This window comes from Homo sapiens, chromosome 1, assembly GCF_000001405.40.
Source record: "Homo sapiens chromosome 1, GRCh38.p14 Primary Assembly".
NCBI classification, from domain to species: Eukaryota; Metazoa; Chordata; class Mammalia; order Primates; family Hominidae; genus Homo; species Homo sapiens.
The window spans coordinates 44,633,428-44,652,014 of NC_000001.11; the positions used below are offsets into that span (position 1 = coordinate 44,633,428).

An 18,587-nucleotide genomic window follows, 5' to 3' on the forward strand; every position below is an offset into this window, starting at 1 on the left:
TCGTACGTAGCCTCTGGATAGAGAACAGAACTTTCCCTACCACACTTTGGTAAGCTTAATTCAGGATTTAGAAGATGAATGGGAAGGTGAAAACCAAACCTGCCTTCCTTCTCTGAGAATTTGCAGATGAAGCCCAGTCCATTGGGGTGCTTTCCAGGGACAACAAGGGATCATCTGCTGGCCTGTGTGTCCTGAGCAAGGAGCGCATCCAGTATTGTGCCTTTCTTGACCATTCCATGAGATTCGTTTCCTTAGTCATTGAACATTGTGGTATCATCAGCACCTTCTTCCCCAGGGAGGCATTCCCTTGGTGTAGGCATGGTAGGGAGGAAGCTTTGTGTTGGCACACTGCTCCTTACTACACTTCTAGAACTCTCAGGGTCCTTTGCTCAATGCCTTTCTGATGTTTCACGTCCATTCTCCATCCCAGCCCTGGCTCTAGAGTGTCAAGGCTACCTAAGTCTGAGATTCCAAGAGTTAGGGCAGCCAAAATGAAGAGTTCTCGATCTGTGTCCACAAAGTCAAGTGAGGCACTAGGACACAGTCATGTCACCTATAGTGAAGACACAGGAAAGTGAAGAGATGGACTGGGCTACAGACCAAGTTTCCTCAAACTCCATGCCCAGTTCTGGCAGGATGGTAGCTTTCCTTTTGGTTTGGGTCTTTCTGGGGTTGCTCTGTTTTGGAGTTGGAGTAGCTCCCTGCCTCAGGCTCACAACAGGCAGGAGCTGGAGCCCTAGCACACTCACTGGGACCAGTCTTTGTTGATGCTGCTCAGTTAGGAGGTCCCCTTGAAACAGGAGGGCATTCTAGGTTGTGAAGTCAGTTCTGGTTTCCTATCTTGCCTTTGCCACTTTTTAGCTACTTGGACACGTACCTTGATCTCTCTAAGCTTTGGGTTTCTTCATCTGTTAAAATGGGATAATGCAATCTAGCTTCAGCAAGTGGTAGTAAATGAGCTACCTTGGGTAAGGTACTTGGCTGTGAGCCTGACACACGGTAGAAGCTTAAATTGTAACATAGCAGCTCTCACCTGTGTTCCCCTCCTAGATTGCATTCATGAGCTTCCCGTTAGGGTCACTGTCCATGAGAAAGTTCTTCCTGGCCCTGCTTTGGGGAACCTTTCCCTCCTTTGCTGGCTCTCCCCACTCCCCATCAGTCTGGTCCCAGAGTAGCCATCTCTGATCCTGCTGTGGCATTCTGGAAGGGACTAGAGGGAAGAGAGTTTCTTGTTTTGACCCCTTCCTGCTTCAGTGACAGGAGGGCTACAGAGAGGGATTAGTGAGCTAATTAGAAATGATTGCATTGCTCAGCATTAATTAGCAGTGTTGTGGGCTTGCAGTGTGCACTTTGGAACTGAGCCCCCTGTGGGACAACATGGCAGGCAGCCCTCTGCCTCCAGGGCCTGCCAGCCCCTCTGTACTGATTAGAAATGATGGAACAGGTTCGGGTGGGCACAATAAGGGCTGCCTTCTCAGGGTTCCCTGAGCCTTCTGACCTGGCTGCCAAAGGTCTGACCCAGACCGTCTTACCTTTATGACTGGGCCTCAGTCTCCTCTTCTGTGAAATGGGATTAGTGGACCTCAGAGAAATTCTTCCTGATAAGATTCTAGGTGGGATGCTAGGAGCTGTACCTCAGGGCTCTTGGCCCAGGAACCAAAGAGGATTTAGCTGATGAGTGAACAGCAGGCCAAGTCAGGCCATCGGAGGGGTTAGGTTCTAGTCAAGAGATGCTCTTTAGAGTTGTATTTCCTGACACCAAAAGAGTTCATGGTCTTGGCCTTCTGGAGAGATACCTAGCAACATGGAGTGTCTTTGCTCACTGGATTTTTATTAAACACTGCAAATAGAAAGGTATGGGTAGACCTTGCACCAGCTGCAGCCAAAGAGTGGACTTACTCACTGGCTTAGTTAGCACCAGTCTCCTCCCCAGGTGCTCTTGGCAAAGCCCAGTCCCCAAAGGAGCAGGAGGTATTTCAAGATGAGGGCCAGATCAGGCACTGAATAAAAAGGCCAATGGCTGGCAAGAGGTCAGGATGTGTCAGCTCCACTGGGACCCTGGGGGCTGCAGTGACCGTCTGCTTGTTCTGTGCTTTGTTTTCGGTTTCCCCGTGCAGCTCGGATTGGGAAAATGAAACGGAGGAAGCAAGATGAAGGGCAGGTATGTCCCCTGTGCAACCGCCCCCTGGCAGGATCGGAGCAGGAGATGAGTAGGCATGTGGAGCATTGCCTTTCTAAGGTAGAGGGGCCATCACCACCCACCTTCCTTCCCCGCTCCCTTCCCCCGACACTAGCTGCTGACTGCCCCTGAATCTGTGGGCTCTTGGGGTCTCCATGTGGTCTCAGCAGCTTCTTCCCTTCTGACCACTGCTCTCTCCTTTTGCTTTCACTCTCACTCATTCCCTCCTTGGGCTCCAGCGGAAAACTATTGGGAAGAGGCCCAGGTCTTTGACCTCTAAATTGGTTTGCTTCAAAGGAGCCCTAGAGCTGAGGGCCCACTTGGCACACCACAGCTGGGGCTAGAGCTGTGCCTTCGTTGCAGACTGTGGGGAGCAGGTGGGGATGGCCTGGGCCCAGCATGATCCTGCTCTGCTCTTCACAGAGGGAAGGCTCCTGCATGGCTGAGGATGATGCTGTGGACATCGAGCATGAGAACAACAACCGCTTTGAGGAGTATGAGTGGTGTGGACAGAAGCGGATACGGGCCACCACTCTCCTGGAAGGTGGCTTCCGAGGTACAAGCAGCTGACACGTAGACATTGGCACTCTGGTGCCAGGCCTCTGCTGGGTATCCATCTGCTGGAAGCCAAGAGGCCGAGGCTGGTGGCTGGTCATCCATCCGTTCCACCACGTGGGGACTGCTGCTGGTGGGGCTCCTTTGTGACCGTGCTGCCTGCCTGTGATGTGCATATTAAAATGGATGTATTTGGGTGGGGAAATGGAATTGTGAGGCTGCAAGCTAGGAGTGACGAAGGGGGGCTCTCAGCTTCGGGTGATGCATTGAAGGTGACAGCCAAGCCGCGTTAGCACCTGCATAAAATATTAAAGGGACGGTTATGCATTTATCACTCCATCCCTCTTAAGGCTGATAAATGAGAATCCAGCAACCTGCTGTACACCTCCAGCACTGGGGGCCCTGAGGGCTTCCAGGCAAACACATTGGATTTTCCTCCTCCTCCTCTTCAGCCCTATGTCAGGGAAATCAGTTACAGAGGAGAGTGAGTTATGGCAAAATTTGACCTCCCATGAGCTTCATTGGTGAATCTAATTTTAGCTCTGATCCCATCCCTTCTCCCTGGGCGCCCTCTGCCCTGAAGCAAGAGGGGCCTGGGCCCAGCTGCTCCCTCCTTCCCTTGGGCTCTCCCCAGTTGCTACAAAGGAGTGTGCAGGGCCCTGCCCATCTCCAGTGCCCTCCCAGCTCCTTGGAAGAGCAAGGCTTGACACCCCCCACCAGGTCAGACAGCAGAATTGGTTGGGTGCCCAGGGTTAGTGACTTGTTAAACTCCCCAGCCTTGGGCAGGGGAAAAGGGGAGCTGTCTGCCTCTTGGCCTCCAGCTCTTCTCTCTTTCTGTGCACAAGCACAGCTGGTACTGCAGCTTGTGGTCATTAAGTGAGCCAATCTGCTTCCCGTCTGCCTCTCTCTCTGGGCAACACCTTTGGGAATACTGCTGTGTATGGTCCCTGGGGAATCTCACAGCAGCTGGGAAGAAGTTCTCTGCCTTCGTGGGGCCGTGCTACCTGGGCAGATGCTGAGGAGTGGTCTCTGCAGGGCCGTCCAGTGCAGACTGGTTCCACGAAGGGGCTAAGAGCCCAGATGAGACATTATGCCTCTGGGCGTCTCTCACATTACCCAGGTGTTTGGGGGCAAGCCAAAACATAAATCAGGAAGGTTAGTCAGACCAAACAGTCTCCCTGAGCCGGAGCTGGAGAGTGTTAGTTTGCCATTTCACTCATCCCGTACTGGAGCCTTCGAGTATCTGAGGCCCTAGAAGAGTGAGCAGCAGGGCTGACGACTGTCCCATGAGTTGGACACATGGGTGTCCGATGGCAGCCACACAGGGTCAGTTTCAACGTGCTGCTCTGGTTAGCTCTGTTGGCAGCTGCAACTGCTCACATCCTCCATTGCTGTGGCACCTTCTTAGGTTCCTTGGCACAGACCTGGACCTGATGGCTTCTGGGCACCAGACAGGGCTTATGGAGGATAAAGCTGCAAAGGGCCTGCTGATTTGACAAGAGTATTTCCCCTGTGCCGGGATGCACTTGCACAGCAGTGTGAGGGGCTCTTAGGCCCCGGGCGGGTATCCGTTTTCCCTGAGTGTTTACACTGTGAGGTTGTTCCTTTCAAGAATTCCTGAGGGGAGTTCAAAGGGGGCTTTTCTTTGAGCGATTTGGAGAGCGAGAATGAGAGTGAGACTTGAAGAGGGAACAGGGGCCGGAGGTGCCTTTATCTGCAGAGAATTGCTCCAGCTTTCCTGATAGAAGCTGCTGCCGCCTCTTAAACAGCTTAGTGCAGTCAAAAGACAGGCAGACTTGAAAGGCTGTTTTACAGCGAGATCAGCGGGGGCCACGAGGCAGAGAGCGGGGCGCAGTGGAGCGGAGGAGGCTGAGGCTCCTCAGTGGGGGGGCTATCAAAGGGAGGCCCTGGCTGATCCCTACTGCCTCTGCCCCCAAAACCCTGTCTGCAAAAGCTGGCCATCTGTCAGCCTACCCTCCCTGGCCAGGACTGATAGGCCCTAACTCTTGGGGGGTTGGGTGTGGCCTCGCCAGGCGGGCTGGTGTCAGTGCAGCGCATTGATCGCCCGCCGGGCGGGCCGGGCTGCAAGCCGGGCAGCGCGTGCTTAATGTGATTGAAAGGCAGTTAAAATGGCGGTGACCTTTTCAGGAGGAATTAGATTGCCTGCCAAGACCGGTTAGAGGGAGTGATAACGCCAGCTGAAGAAGCTGCCCAGCAGACTTCAGAGAGAAGGAGGCAGAGGCAGGATGAGCAGGCGAGTGGCGAGGCCCATTTAAACTGCGCTGTGCGTGCTGACAGAACAGAGATTGCTGTCGTTGTTAGATATGAAAGAAGTGAAGAATTGCAGATAAGTTCCTGTATCCGATCACCCCCATCCCTCCTCCCAGAGTAGGGCCTCTTCTTCATCCTCAGCAAAGCTTCCCACCAGGCCCCTGGAGGTTGGTCTGATGGATCAGATCGGTTACCTCAAATGTAATCTGCTGTGGGAAGCAGTGAACGGGCAAGAGTTTCGGTGGAGACACTTGGCTGAGGGCAACAGGCCTTAGAGATGGGGACCTGTGGTTACTGAGGAGGAGCTCCAGATATCTCAGGCCTGGGAGTACTCGGATTGATATTTTAGGACAAAATAAAGAAGCAGACAGAGCAGGTGAGCACTGAGGTAGGTCCCACTGGAAACAGATTTTTGAAAAGACTAAAGGAAATAGGTATTACTTCAAGAAAGTAAGTTGGAAGGAATTTTTGCTGCCTAGGAGGCACTCTGACCTTCCCAATTCTAGAAGAAATACTTAAGCTGTGTGTCTAAGTTGTTGATTGTCCTTTCAGAACCATAGATTTTCTAACCTGCTACTGCTCTTTACATAAAGGACAGCACACAGAGCCTAGTGCGCCACCAACATTCCACTAAAAGAGATCCGCAGTTAGGGAGAAAAGATGTTTTTCTTGGGTACCATGCCAAACCTGGGCAGAGCAAGGGGCTTCTAGGCTAGAGAAGCAGACTACAGGGGAACCTAACTATACAGCCCTTAAGACAAGCCTGCTTCCACCTGTAGTCTAAGGAGGTGTGTGACTAAGGAGCCATGCCTTTCCTCTCCTGTCCTCCATCCAGCTCCTGGATCCTGGAGAAGAGACCTATAGTGGTGAACCATGGTCCCTCCTGTGTGTTGGTTGCCAGTGAGAGTTCACCCAACTGCATTGGGGAGCCCAGAGCTCCTCACATCTGGAAGGGACATGCTGGAAAGAGGACATGGGAATGATTGGTTTCAAATAAGGTGGCAATGATGTGGGCACAAGAGTGGTGAGATGGAGAAATTTCCCAGGAAGCTTCACAGGAAATGGAAGCCTGCAGCTGTATCTTTAAGCCCTGGCGGTGACTGCGTTGCTAAAATCCAGCATGAAGCCCCTCTGAACCAAACAGGAGGAGTGGGTAGGGAAAAGAAGGGTGTTAAGACAGTCAGCAGTGCAGGGTCTTTGTCCTGCTCAGGTCCTGGCCTGAAGCGTTTCTTATCTTTCATGAGTTCCTTACATTTAAGCCGGTTCCAAGTAGCTGGATGAGAAGTCATGAAGCAAACAGGCAGAGCAGCTGTGGCACAAATCTTTTCTCTTCTTTTCTTTTCTTTTCCTTTTTATTTATTTATTTTTGAGACAGAGTCTCACTTTTTCACCCAGGCTGGAGGCTAGAGTGCAGTGGCACGATTTCGGCTCACTGCAACCTCCACCTCCTGGGTTCGAGAGATTCTCCTGCCTCAGCCTCCCGAGTAGCTGGGATTACAGGCATGTGCCACTACAACCAGCTAATTTTTGTATTTTTAGTAGAGACGGGGTTTCACCATGTTGGCCAGGCTGGTCTTGAACTCCTGACCTCAGGTGATCCACCCACCTCGGCCTCCCAAAGTGCTGGGATTACAGGTATGAGCCACCACACCCGGCCTGGCACAAATCTTTTATCTGGCTATTTCTTGATAAAACTTCAGCGCCAGAAGTATGGGGCAAGGGGGTAAGAGGTGTTGTAAGCCCCAGGGCATGGGCACATAGGCCTTGCCCTAGCTGCTGCCTTCTTTGGTGTGCTAGTTCTCAAAAGAAGGGAGCCCCAGGTGCTAAAAATGTCCCCCAGTGCAGCTCTGCTGTTGGTCCAGCCAGTGACAGGTGTTGGAACAGCACACTGCTGGAGGCGGTCTTGGAGTGGAGAGGGTTGGGCTGCTGCCTTGTGACTCCCTACCATCTTTAGTTCTCTCTGTCGCCTGTTGGGAGGGGTGAGGAGAGGTGGCAAGGAGCAAGGCACCTTCTGTCCCCCGTGGCAACTGATGGGATTTAATCGCCTTTTGGAACACAATTGTTAAGCTAGGACAGAGGGAGTGCAGGCAGAAGGAGCAAGTATCAATGGTTTTAAACGGCGTCTGTCTCTCTGCGTCTCTCCTGACGTGAGGCAGTGAAACGCGTTATCGAGGAGGCCCGGAAAGTGGCTAAGTGCGTTTGACACACGCCAACTCCCTGCCTCCACACTGGATAATTGCATTGTCAACTGTTCAGCGAGGTGGCAGGTGACACTGCAGGCCGATTGATTGTCCCGCATCGCAGCTCCCCAGACTGTCAGCTCCCCAATCGATGGCGTTTACACAAGACACCGTAACTGCATCTGTAACTAATTCCAGTGTAAAACTCGCCGGAAGCTGCTGCCCCTGCCCTCCGTGTTGGAGAGCACAGGCCCCTGGAGGGCCCCGAGACGTTTCCTTTCTCCCTGGGCTCTGGTTTTGTTGGGAGCAGCAGGTGAGGAAATCGATGCCTCCTTTTTTGTGGTTTCAGGTTCCAGGACGATACTGCCCCCAGTAAACGGGCATCTCCAGTTTCTCAATCGATCATCTGATCAATTGATTAAATTAACACTGATTTTTTTTTTCTCCCTTCTCAATAACCCAGGAAGAAATGAGTTTATGGGAGAAGGGTCGTTTTTATAAAACGTAGACCTGTGTTTCATTTCTGCACTTAACTCTCTCCCTCTTTGTTGCTCAGTTTTCACTGTGAGGAGAAGGATATTTTTTTTTGCACTACCCACCCCGCCAGGAATGGACAACTCTGGCACCACCCTGCTGGGTATCATTGACCATCAGGCTTAGGTTGCCTATGGGTGGGGGCTCAGGCCTTTATGCCACTTTAAGCTGGGGCAGAACTGTAGCAAGAGGCCCTCCCTGGTGACTGAAGGGTACTCTGGGCCATCTTGGAGGTCCTGGGGGCTGAGTTCCTTCCCTAGATAGCAGTAGTAGGAGTGGCAGCTTGCCTGTTATCGCTGGAGCTACATGGAAGAGGAGCCAGAGACTTGGAAAGGAGCTGTCTGTGCCATCTTGCCTCTGAGTACTGGCTTGGGATATTCCAGCAGCTGAGAACATCAAACGACTGTGGAGCCTTCCTCTCCAAGCGGGAGGGGGGGCAAGCTGGCGGGGGCGCTGTCTGCATAAAACGGCTTTATGGCCGTTTCTTTTTATTATGATTCTGCCAGAAGTCAGCAAGTGACATTTCATTAAGAAAATAAAGTTTAATGTGCTGGGAAAGAGGTTGGAGCAGGCTGGGGCAGCACAAGAGTGAAATTGGCAGCAGCAGCCTGTTCTGAACACCTGTGGGGGTAGGGAGAGGTTCCCAACATCTGTCTCAGCTGGAGGATGGGGTCAGGGTCAGAGTGAATGGCTCAGACCAGAGGCAGAGGCCTTTTCTTTGGCAAACAAAGTGTGTCGTGCTGTCCATCCTGCCTCACTGGCCAGCGGAACAGAAAGCTGCTGCCCGGCTGGGAGCTGGGATCTGATAAGGAAAGTTGTATCCTGAGAGATTTCTCTAGGCCACCAGCTAACTAGGACCTAATAGAGCAGTGTCGCCAGTGTTTAGCCAGTACTGCTGGGGTGTGCTGTGTGGCACCAGCCATCAGCCTGGCCAGCTCTGCTGGGTGATGCTGAGATCACAACAGTGAGTCAAACTTGGGACCCTTGCAGCTTCCACTCTGGTGAGGGACAGTGACAATAGGTGGTAATAAATATGATTTTGGAGTTACACAGGATTCTGGGTGGACACCAGGGAAGGGACACCTGTGTATAAGAACGTGGGAAGCCCCATCTGCCACGCAGAGCACCATGAGGATAGGGATCAGATCTTGAAGCTCTCTATTCTCAACATGGAGCCAAACAGAGGATGAGCCCAATAAAGGTTGAAAGAATGGCATTGAGGTGAGAGTTCTTTCCTTTAGCAGGGATTTAGAGAGCAGCTGCTCTGTGTGGGCACTGTGAGTTAATGGTAGGAGGCATGGTTGGGCTGAGTCAGACTTGCCAAAGGAGCAGGCATGTATATTGTAGACCAGGAGGGAGAAGGTTCTAGGCAGAGAGCAGGAGGTGCGGAGGCATGGGGGCATGAGAAAGCACAGGATTTGGGAGACCACAGTAGCTCTGTTTAATGGAGTATGAGTCCTGGGCCAGGCATGGTGGGCAGTAAGACTACAGAGAAAAGGACTTCAGGCTACAGGGCTGCTTTCTGCGTTGAGAAGCTGGGGCTTTTCCTGGCAGCTTTGGGGTACCCTGTTTTCTCTGCTTTGCCATGGAGCCATATTGGGCTCACATGTGGTGCCAGGGTTCTCTGCTTTCCACTTATAAGGCAGGGCTAGGCAGGGCCAGGCCGAGCAGAAGATGTGAGGCCAGCTGCTGAGCTGCGTGTACTTGGGGAAGGGGGGTTGGCAGGACTTGGGTGCCGCAAGCTGTAAGTGAACCTGATAGCTACATTCTGATTGATGGTGGAGTTTGTCTCCCAAACTGTCAGAGGGTTTATGGAGGTGCCACTCACCCACAAGGCGGGAATTGCTTGTCAGGACACCTGGCCGTGTACAGGAGACAGAGCTGTAACTTGGTGTTTTCTCAGCTTAATGGCCCTGCTGCTGACCTGACCTGCCTGCTGCCTCAAGTGTGTCAGTGCCTCAGGGTAGAGGGCAAATGAGGACTGTCAGGGAGAGGTGGATTGCAGGCTGTGCCTGGCATCTTTCCTTCCCGATGCTGCTTGCCTTTGGGATTGGTGGTGTCTTTGTGAGACCAGAGACTGGTGGGGTAGAAGGGAGAAGGATCAAGACTCAGTGTTTTTCAGGGCTTGAAAAATGGAGAACATTCCAGATGGAGTGAATAGCATGAGCAGGGGTCTTAAGAGCAGCATATACAGGCTATGTTTGTGGTTTGGTGAGCAGCCTGTGTGTGCACATGCTTGGGGTTTACAGAGTGAATTAGTAGAGAGCAAGAGTAAAGACATAAATGGACCCAGATCTTCATGGATCTGGCTGAGGAGCCTGGGCTTGGTTGTGCATGCAGTGGGGAGCCATCAATGGTTTTGGAGCAGGAGGAAAGGTGGTCAGAACTCAGTGGTAAGCAGAATGAAGGAACAGATAAGAGGCCTGAGGACTCCCTACAAGACATACCCTAATGAGAGTATAAGGACCTGAGAGGAAAGAGTGGACAAGCAGAAATGTCTGAAATCATCAGGCAGATACTAAGCTGCTTCCTCACTTCTTTAAGGATTTCCTTGCTGATCCCAGTAGCCACAGAGTCTCACATTCTTTTGTCCCTGGCAGGGCTGTGCTGGCTAGTGAGGTGTGGTCTGAGACCCACTAGGAGGAAGTGGGGAGCTGGGGGGAACAGCTCTATAGCACTTGACCCTAGGCTATCAGGAAGGGTGGTCCTGGATGTCAGAGAGATCGCCTGGCAGGTGAGCAGGCCTGGTGTAGCCCCAGCAGCTCGCCCCTCCCTCTGAGCTGAGAGTCCGTCTGTGGCTGTGCCAGATGCACCTCAGGGGTCAGCCACTTGCGTGGCCCATGGCCTGGCCTCCGCTCAGCCTGGTTGCCTTCATGGACTGCTTTGAGAAGTAGGTGTGCATGCCTGTCCTCCCTCGTCTGTCCCTTCTTAATCCCTTTATAACTGCACTTGTCCAGGAATCTGGGCTGAGTGAGGTGGAGATGAATAATTAATGTCAGGCGCTTCAGACACCAAATATTTGAACAGCTGCCTGGTGTTTTTGCTGGCAAGGACCTAGCGGCCAAAATCAGGATGTTGGCCGGGGGTCCCACTCTGTGGCTCTGATTGGCCTTAGCCAGCCTGTTCTCTCCTCTGATGGACTTGTCAGGCTGGATAATGGGGCATAGGGGAGGCCCCACTCTTTTCCTGTGAAATTCCTAGACCTGAATTTTTCTGTCCTCTTACTGTTCTTCCTAGACCTGGAAGATAGGTGGACAGCAGGCCTGGGCTGAGTGTCCCCGAGGACGTGACATAATATATGAATGGGCTAGTTTATGAGCAGAGACCACTTGGAGCAGCATGCAGTAGCAGAGAAAGATGAGGTTTGCAGAGTGAAGGGCCTGAAATGTCAGGGTCAGGGGCACTGAAGTATCTGGCTCTATACATCCCAGGCCCAGGTTTCCCTCTGGGCCTTATCAGGTCCAAAGCCTAACCCCTACCTGGAGGCAACAGGAGGGGCACCCTTGGCCTCGTCTTGTCCCCAGGCCCTCCTCACACCCTGCTTCCCACAGGCTCTGGCTTCATCATGTGCAGCGGCAAAGAGAACCCGGACAGTGATGCTGACTTGGATGTGGATGGGGATGACACTCTGGAGTATGGGAAGCCACAGTATCCTTGGAGCACTATGGGGGCTGGTGGGGCTGATAGGGCAGGCACAGGGAATAAGAAAAGTAGCTCTTCTAGTATTCACCTGCACCACCCCCCGGGCCAGAGTCTCAGCTTTGGCCAGGAGGGCCATGCTCTCCTGAGGATTCAACCCTCATAGCCTGCTGCAAACTAGGATCCATTGTCCTTGACCACCATGCCAGATACACAGAGGCTGATGTCATCCCCTGCACAGGCGAGGAGCCTGGTGAAGCCAAGGAGAGAGAGGCACTTCGGGGCGCAGTCCTAAAGCAAGTGTGGGCACAGGCTTGGGCGGGTGGAGCAGAGAAACAGGAAGCCCTGAGGCAGGGGTTAACGCAGTACTGACCCTCAGGGCTGTCCTGCCCGCCTTCAGGCCTCACTTTGTTTTTCCTCCCTCCTTTCCTCCAGTGGCGGCCCTCCCAGCACGCGCATCACACCTGAGTTCTCTAAATGGGCCAGTGATGGTAAGTCCTGCCCCAGGTTAGGAGTAATGGGGGAGAGGGGGTATCCCTAGATGGTGGTGACTGACTCAAGCCCAACCCCTCACCTGTGCTGCCCAGTCTGGCCGGAGTGTGAGTTGCCCCTCTGTCCCAGCAGAGATGCCATCCACCAGCAATGGTGAAAGCAGCAAGCAGGAGGCCATGCAGAAGACCTGCAAGAACAGCGACATCGAGAAGTAAGTGTTTGGCCAGGAGAGAGCCCTGGGACCACAGTTCAGTGGGAGGAGGGGCCCTTTGCTAGCAGGAAGGCCTGCTGCCAGGGCTTCTGGCCCTCCCAAGTGCAGCTCAGTGCTGCTGCCCTGGGCACACGGCCGGCAGTGGAGCCCAGCTGGTGCTAAGCGTGACTCTGTGAATTGATCACTGGGCCACGGCCCCAGAAGCCTTGGCGGTGGGAGGAGCAGTCCACCCGCCTGCCTGCCTGCCTGCCCGCCTGCTGCGGCGGCCTTCGCCCGGGGAATGTGATGTATGGCCGCCCAGCCCAGCCGGCACACTTGATTCATCTCCAGTTTCTGTTTCTTAATCGGGAGCTAAATTGGTTTCATTTTTCTTGTCCCGGGTGGCACTCGCAGTGGATTTTAGGCAGGAACATTGGGTATCATCACTTCTGGTAGGAATTTTTGGCCTGGGTTCTCTGGCAGAGGAAAAGGGATCCATTAGCACTTTGCCCAGGGCTGAGCAACCCCTGGCCTGGATCCCTGGGAACCACAAAGATTTGGTATCAGCTGGGCATCTTCCTGCCTTCCCAGAAGCCCAAGGAAGGCCAGTTCTGGCCTCAGGAGATGGCATTGTCCAGTCTAGGCTGCCTGGTGCTGCTGCCATTGGTCATTGCTTAACTCCAGTACCCACCCCACCTTCTGACTGCAGGCTAGGTTGCCTGGGGTTAAAAGGCAGCCTCTTCATTCCAGGGCCAGTGTTCCATCTTTGCCTCCTGCCAGGAGAGTGGATTGGAGGCCGGTGCAGGGCCGGGTCGGTGGCCCAGGGTCACCTCCCATTTGTTTCCCTCCATTTTGTGTTGTCATAAATTCATTCCAGCCCGTTGTGGTTGATCAGTTTATCTCGGCCGGGGCCGCGAGTGCTGCTGGCATGATGTATGGGCCGCGGCGCAGGGCCCGGCTGCCCATGAATCACCGCAGCTGCTCCGTGTCAGCGCCGGAGCGGGCCGTATGGGTTCTGCGCAACCAGCTTGTGGTGGGGAGGAATGACGTATGGATGTTTATTTAATAATTCTCTCCTACTCCAGCTGAGCAGGGCGGGCGGGGTTGTAAGGGGCACCCACCCTCGTCTGGAGGGGCTGCTCATAAATCAGAAAGACAAGATCATTAATCAGGGATGGCGCCCGAGGGGGAGGTGGGGGCAGAGCCAGTGGCTTCCATGAAGGTACAACCCACCCAAGGCTGGGGGGAGCCAGGATTTCTGTCCCACCTGTGTGAGCACAGGCACCCGTAGGCAGGGATCTCTATGATGAGGTGGAGACTGGCTCAGTCATGTGCAGAGCTCTCCACTGGGTCTGGATCTGCTGAGACTGGGGCCCATCAGTCCCCGTGATTTCTCTATTTCTTGCCCTAGATCTGTTTTACTACTCAGGGAAAAGGAATGGTAGGATGCCATGGCTCCTCCAGGAATCTCCCCACCCCATGCCCTGGAGGGACTCAGGAATAGCTCACAGCCAGCCTGGACCAGGGGTTGGAGGCTTGGGTATTTCGCCAGAGCCAAGATTGGAGGGCAGGTGTGTGCTGAGCACATCCAGGATAGGTAGGCTCTGGAGTTGGCTATTGGCCTTCAGTGGGGCCTTGTAGCTCTTGGAGATGGCATGGGAAATGGCTTCATTCTCTCCTGGCCTCATCCTTCTTTGCCATTCCAGCTCTAGTTCTCTGATTTGGGGTTTGGGAGTTAGTTCTCCATTCTGGTGTAGGCTGCCCCCAGCTGCAGGCCTTAGTTTCCCCATCTTTGACATAACTATATAGGACTAGGCAAATTCTCAGCTTAGTCCTTGGAGTGGAAGGGAGCACAGCTACAAATCCTTGTCTCCTTATCAGGAATTTACCTGTAATCCAGATGGGGATGGCACATATGGCATTGTGCAAAATGCCAGGGAAGGAGCCTGCTGTTCGGAGGCTTGTGAGGAGGGAAGGGATGGTAAAGGCTTCCAGAGCCAGAGAGCTAAATGGAAGCCCCCAGGGAATCAGCCAGTACCAGGAGGAAAGAGTCAGAGCCTTTCTTGGCATCCCTGGAAAGAGGCAAGGCAGAGGGAATCATGGACCCTAGGGTGATGGATTTAAGTGTCCCTGATACAAGGACACAGCCACTAAGGAGTCACGCTCTGTGTTGCTGCTAGCTCCCCAAAGGAAAAAGGCCAGAGATTGAAGTTGTATTGCCCATGAAATGGGACCACTACCCTCCCTGCACTCCCATTACCACTCACATCCAGCAATGACAGGCCACCTGTAAGCTCTCAAGCTTCCTGAGCCAATTGTCTCCCCTAAACTGCAGAACAGGTGCCCCCAGGAGACTGTCCTTGCCCAAAGTCCACGTCCCTTATGATTCCCCCGCCTCAGTCCAGCCTCTGCTTCCTGATTGAGTACATCTGTGAAACCTGAGCTGTTCGTACCCCCACTCTTCCAGCATCCTCAGCAGCTTCCTGCTGTCCACGAGATAAACTTCAGCTCCTTCAGGTGTGGCATTTGAGGTCCTCTTGCATGCCATCTCCTTTCTTACTGTAGCACTTTGCCTACATGTGGGCCTTCTAGCCAGACTGGGCTCTTGGGCCTCTTGGCCTCTGTTTCTGCTGTTCCCTTGGCCTGGAGCCCCACCTCCTCCTGGGTGTAGCCAGTATAGTCATGGTCAATCACACAGTTATTAGTTGATCATGGAATCAGTCTGCCAGGTTTGAATCCCATCTCCCTGACTCTGTGGGGACCTTGAGCAAGCTACTTAATCTTTCTGTGCTTTAGTTTCTTTGTATATAAAATGGAGATATTAGAATCTTATGGGGTTTTTGTAAGGTGTAAATAAGATAATTATCAATCCCTCAGTACAATCTCTGGCATTTAGTAAGTGCTTAATAAATTTTAGCTATTTTATTTGTATTATCATTATTATTCCCTAAGGCCAGTCTCCTATACCATCTTTTCTACTTTTCCAGGAAGCATTCTTCTCCATCTGTGAGCTCCCCTGGATCCTGTTCATTTGTTTTAGGAGGGTGGGAAGGTTCCTTGAGAGAGTCCTAGCTATTCCCTGTTCAGCAGTGCAGCCCAAGGAGTCCTGGAAATGCAGGAGGGACCTTCAGGTGCAGGGCTTGGCCCACACACAGGACTACCAGGGCATCTGATATATCTAGGAAGTAACAAGGAGCCCTGGAGGCAGGCCAGGGCTGTGGCAAAGAGACCTAGATCATGTGGGACACGCCTAGTCCCTGCATCTGTCCCCCTCTCCCTGGAGTTTGGACGGGCCCTTTCTTCAGCAGGTGTTTGCTCACGTCCCATGCCTGAGGTGGGGCTCTTGGCCATAGTCAGTATTGGTGGAGTGAGCAGCCCGCCCTCAGGGAACCCATACTCAGGAACTTTACACTGCTGTGGTGGAGTTCACACGGGGGGCTGTGAGAGCCACTGTGCAGTGCTGGCTCAGGGGTCTGGAAAAGGCTTCTGGGAGGGCATGGGAACAAAACTAGATCTGAATGATGAGGCAGAGCTAGTGAGTCAGGCGAGGGGGTGCAGAGGGATCACAGTGCAGAGGCCAAGGCAGTGAAAAAGGTGGCGTGGATGGTGACACATAGGAGTCGAGCATAAAATGCGTGGCAAGGTCCTCAGGGGTACGGCGGGCTGGGGCTGGACCAAGGAGTGTAGTGGAGCTCTCTACTCCAAGGGGGACATTGGAATGTTGGAAGTCACACCACGAGAGATTTGCTTTGAGAACATAAATTCCTCTAGGCGCTGGGAGAGTGGAATAGAGATGAGGGGCCTGGAGGCAGAAAGGCTGTCTGGAAAAAGTTAGTGGTGGAATTGGTGGAAGACATCTGAGAGCCTGGACTCATGGTGGTGAGGAGAGATGCCGGAGATACTAGGAGAGATGACAGATTTGGGTGGTTGGGAAGACTGCGAAGGAGTGGTTGAAAATGGTTCCCTGGTATCTGGTGTAGAAATTCATCCGAATGGGAATGGAGGAATAGAGAGGGTGAGGAGTTTAGTTCTGGAATGTGGAATTTGCAGATTCAGGTTATCAGAGAAAGGGGGCAGGCAGGGATGCCTAGGGGACATTTATGTATTTGGTTCTGGAATTCAAGGGAGGCGTAGGCTGGAGGTACAGATGAGAGATGCCAGCCTGCTACCCAACCATGCCTTCCTTTTTACAGAATCACCGAAGATTCAGCTGTGACCACGTTTGAGGCTCTGAAGGCTCGGGTCAGAGAACTTGAACGGCAGCTATCTCGTGGGGACCGTTACAAATGCCTCATCTGCATGGTGAGTAGAAAAGAACCTAGGGGTGCCCTTGGTCAGGCTTCCACGCCCTCTGGGGGAGTTGGAGAGGGTGGGCCTACCTCAGAGTGACCCCTTCTCTGCCCCCTCCTCCCTAGGACTCGTACTCGATGCCCCTAACGTCCATCCAGTGTTGGCACGTGCACTGCGAGGAGTGCTGGCTGCGGACCCTGGTGAGGTGGCATGGGGGTCGGGGAATGGGAGGCCGCTCCGGGCACTGCCCAGATGTCTGTGCTTATGCCTGAGCCTGCCTGGGGGAAGTGGGGAGCATGGCGCAAAGGAGAACAGAGCCAGGAGCCAGGATATTTACCCGCAGGATATTTACCCCCAGGCTCGCTGCCTCTCCTCCCCAACTGCAGGTTTAGGAACTTCTCCCCCTCCATGAGTTCACTGCATTCTCCCTTCCCCGCCCCGGTCCCCGAAGGCCCACTGCATCACACAGACTGGTGAGGCCTGGGGTCAGGAGGAGGCTGGCTGTAGGTAAACAGGACCAGGGCCTTGGCCCCTCCCCCTCCCATTACTAAGCTCCTTCTGCTCCTGCCCCTGTTCTTCGCTCAGGAGCAGCCATTAAAATGTCGCCCGGAGACAGTAATAAAAGGCTCGGACGTGGGCTCTGTGTCCTGATCAAAGGCCGCGTGTAATCTCGTTAGGGCTGCGGCTGCCACAGCTGGACCCAGCCTTGTTCTCATTACTGGGGCTCCTGCTGCGGGGCTGGCCAGGCGGTTTGATCCTGGCGTCCCCCCAACACAGGAGCGTGCCTGCCTGCTCACAGAAGCTGCCTATGCGTCCCCAGCCTGGGCTGACAGGACCAAGGTCTCAGCACACACTGGTGCAGAGAGACATGGCTGCAGGCCCAGGTGCTCACATGCGCACACATGGCTCATTGTGTAGACCAGAGCCCTCCCTGTTCTCCCTGCAGGGTGCCAAGAAGCTCTGCCCTCAGTGCAACACGATCACAGCGCCCGGAGACCTGCGGAGGATCTACTTGTGAGCTATCTGCCCCAGGCAGGCCTCGCCTCCAGCAGCCCCACCTGCCCCCAGCCTCTGTGACAGTGACCGTCTCCCTTTGTACATACTTGCACACAGGTTCCCCATGTACATACATGCACATACTCAAACATGCGTACACACACACACATTTACACACGCAGGACTCTGGAGCCAGAGTAGAGGCTGTGGCCCAGGCACTACCTGCTGGCTCCCACCTATGGTTTGGGGGCCATACCTGTTCCAGCTCTGTTCCCAGGGTGGGGCAGGGAGGTGGGGGTTGGGGGAGTAGTGGGGCACGGCTCCTAAGATCCAGCCCCCATACTGACAGACGGACAGACAGACATGCAAACACCAGACTGAAGCACATGTAATATAGACCGTGTATGTTTACAATGTTGTGTATAAATGGGACAACTCCTCGCCCTCTACCTGTCCCCTCCCCCTTTGGTTGTATGATTTTCTTCTTTTTTAAGAACCCCTGGAAGCAGCGCCTCCTTCAGGGTTGGCTGGGAGCTCGGCCCATCCACCTCTTGGGGTACCTGCCTCTCTCTCTCCTGTGGTGTCCCTTCCCTCTCCCATGTGCTCGGTGTTCAGTGGTGTATATTTCTTCTCCCAGACATGGGGCACACGCCCCAAGGGACATGATCCTCTCCTTAGTCTTAGCTCATGGGGCTCTTTATAAGGAGTTGGGGGGTAGAGGCAGGAAATGGGAACCGAGCTGAAGCAGAGGCTGAGTTAGGGGGCTAGAGGACAGTGCTCCTGGCCACCCAGCCTCTGCTGAGAACCATTCCTGGGATTAGAGCTGCCTTTCCCAGGGAAAAAGTGTCGTCTCCCCGACCCTCCCGTGGGCCCTGTGGTGTGATGCTGTGTCTGTATATTCTATACAAAGGTACTTGTCCTTTCCCTTTGTAAACTACATTTGACATGGATTAAACCAGTATAAACAGTTGCTGCCTGTGTGTTATGTGTGTGGGGTGGTGGGGGAGCTAACTAGGGGAGGTGGGCTGAGGCAGTTAAGGGGTTAATTCCTGGTGGCAGGATGGGGGAAAGGACTTAGCTATAGGTGTATGACACTGTGCAGGGTTGGTCTGCTCTGGGGCCGTGGAGCATTTGGTTTGGAGGGGGGTGGGGCTGGGGATCTGGGCTCCTGACTATTGATGGGTAGGGGCTCTAGGTTAATTCTTTATCGATGCAGAATCGTCAGCTCATTAATCACAGAAGAGGTCAGAGCTTGGGGGTA

At 53.6% G+C, this 18,587-nt stretch overlaps 1 protein-coding gene and 1 long non-coding RNA gene across 18 annotated transcripts in view, besides 1 other annotated feature; one reads left to right on the forward strand and one right to left on the reverse strand.

Annotated features, from left to right (window-relative positions):
• Positions 1 to 18,297, forward strand: part of RNF220 (ring finger protein 220) — a 246,942-nt gene extending 228,645 nt beyond the window's left edge. For 7 of the 17 annotated variants that reach the window (XM_047424277.1, XM_047424269.1, XM_011541699.2 and 4 more), the window contains 9 exons: positions 2,118 to 2,239; positions 2,603 to 2,735; positions 11,271 to 11,367; positions 11,568 to 11,654; positions 11,794 to 11,849; positions 11,983 to 12,061; positions 16,234 to 16,342; positions 16,456 to 16,530; positions 17,277 to 18,297. In XM_047424277.1, coding sequence (XP_047280233.1) covers positions 2,118 to 2,239; positions 2,603 to 2,735; positions 11,271 to 11,367; positions 11,568 to 11,654; positions 11,794 to 11,849; positions 11,983 to 12,061; positions 16,234 to 16,342; positions 16,456 to 16,530; positions 17,277 to 17,348 — 830 coding nt within the window. In that variant the 3' untranslated portion in view covers positions 17,349 to 18,297. Of the gene's footprint in view, positions 1 to 2,117; positions 2,240 to 2,602; positions 3,074 to 11,270; positions 11,368 to 11,567; positions 11,655 to 11,793; positions 11,850 to 11,982; positions 12,062 to 16,233; positions 16,343 to 16,455; positions 16,531 to 17,276 lie in introns of those variants that run through there. The other 10 variants (NM_001376486.1, NM_001376487.1, NM_001319957.2 and 7 more) reach the window with 4 other exon arrangements.
• On the reverse strand, positions 1,811 to 16,239 carry LOC107984950 (uncharacterized). Its single transcript, XR_001738031.2, has 2 exons — positions 11,933 to 16,239; positions 1,811 to 3,030 (listed from the first exon to the last, which is right to left on the reverse strand). It is a non-coding gene; the product is annotated as an uncharacterized LOC107984950 (long non-coding RNA).
• Positions 16,857 to 17,438: an enhancer, noted in NCBI's record as "H3K4me1 hESC enhancer chr1:45115956-45116537 (GRCh37/hg19 assembly coordinates)". NCBI's record gives its function as "activates a minimal SCP1, AML or CMV promoter by ChIP-STARR-seq in naive H9 embryonic stem cells {active_cell/tissue: H9 hESC(naive)}" and the evidence as "EXISTENCE:reporter gene assay evidence [ECO:0000049][PMID:30033119]".
• Positions 18,298 to 18,587: the final 290 nt, after the last annotated feature.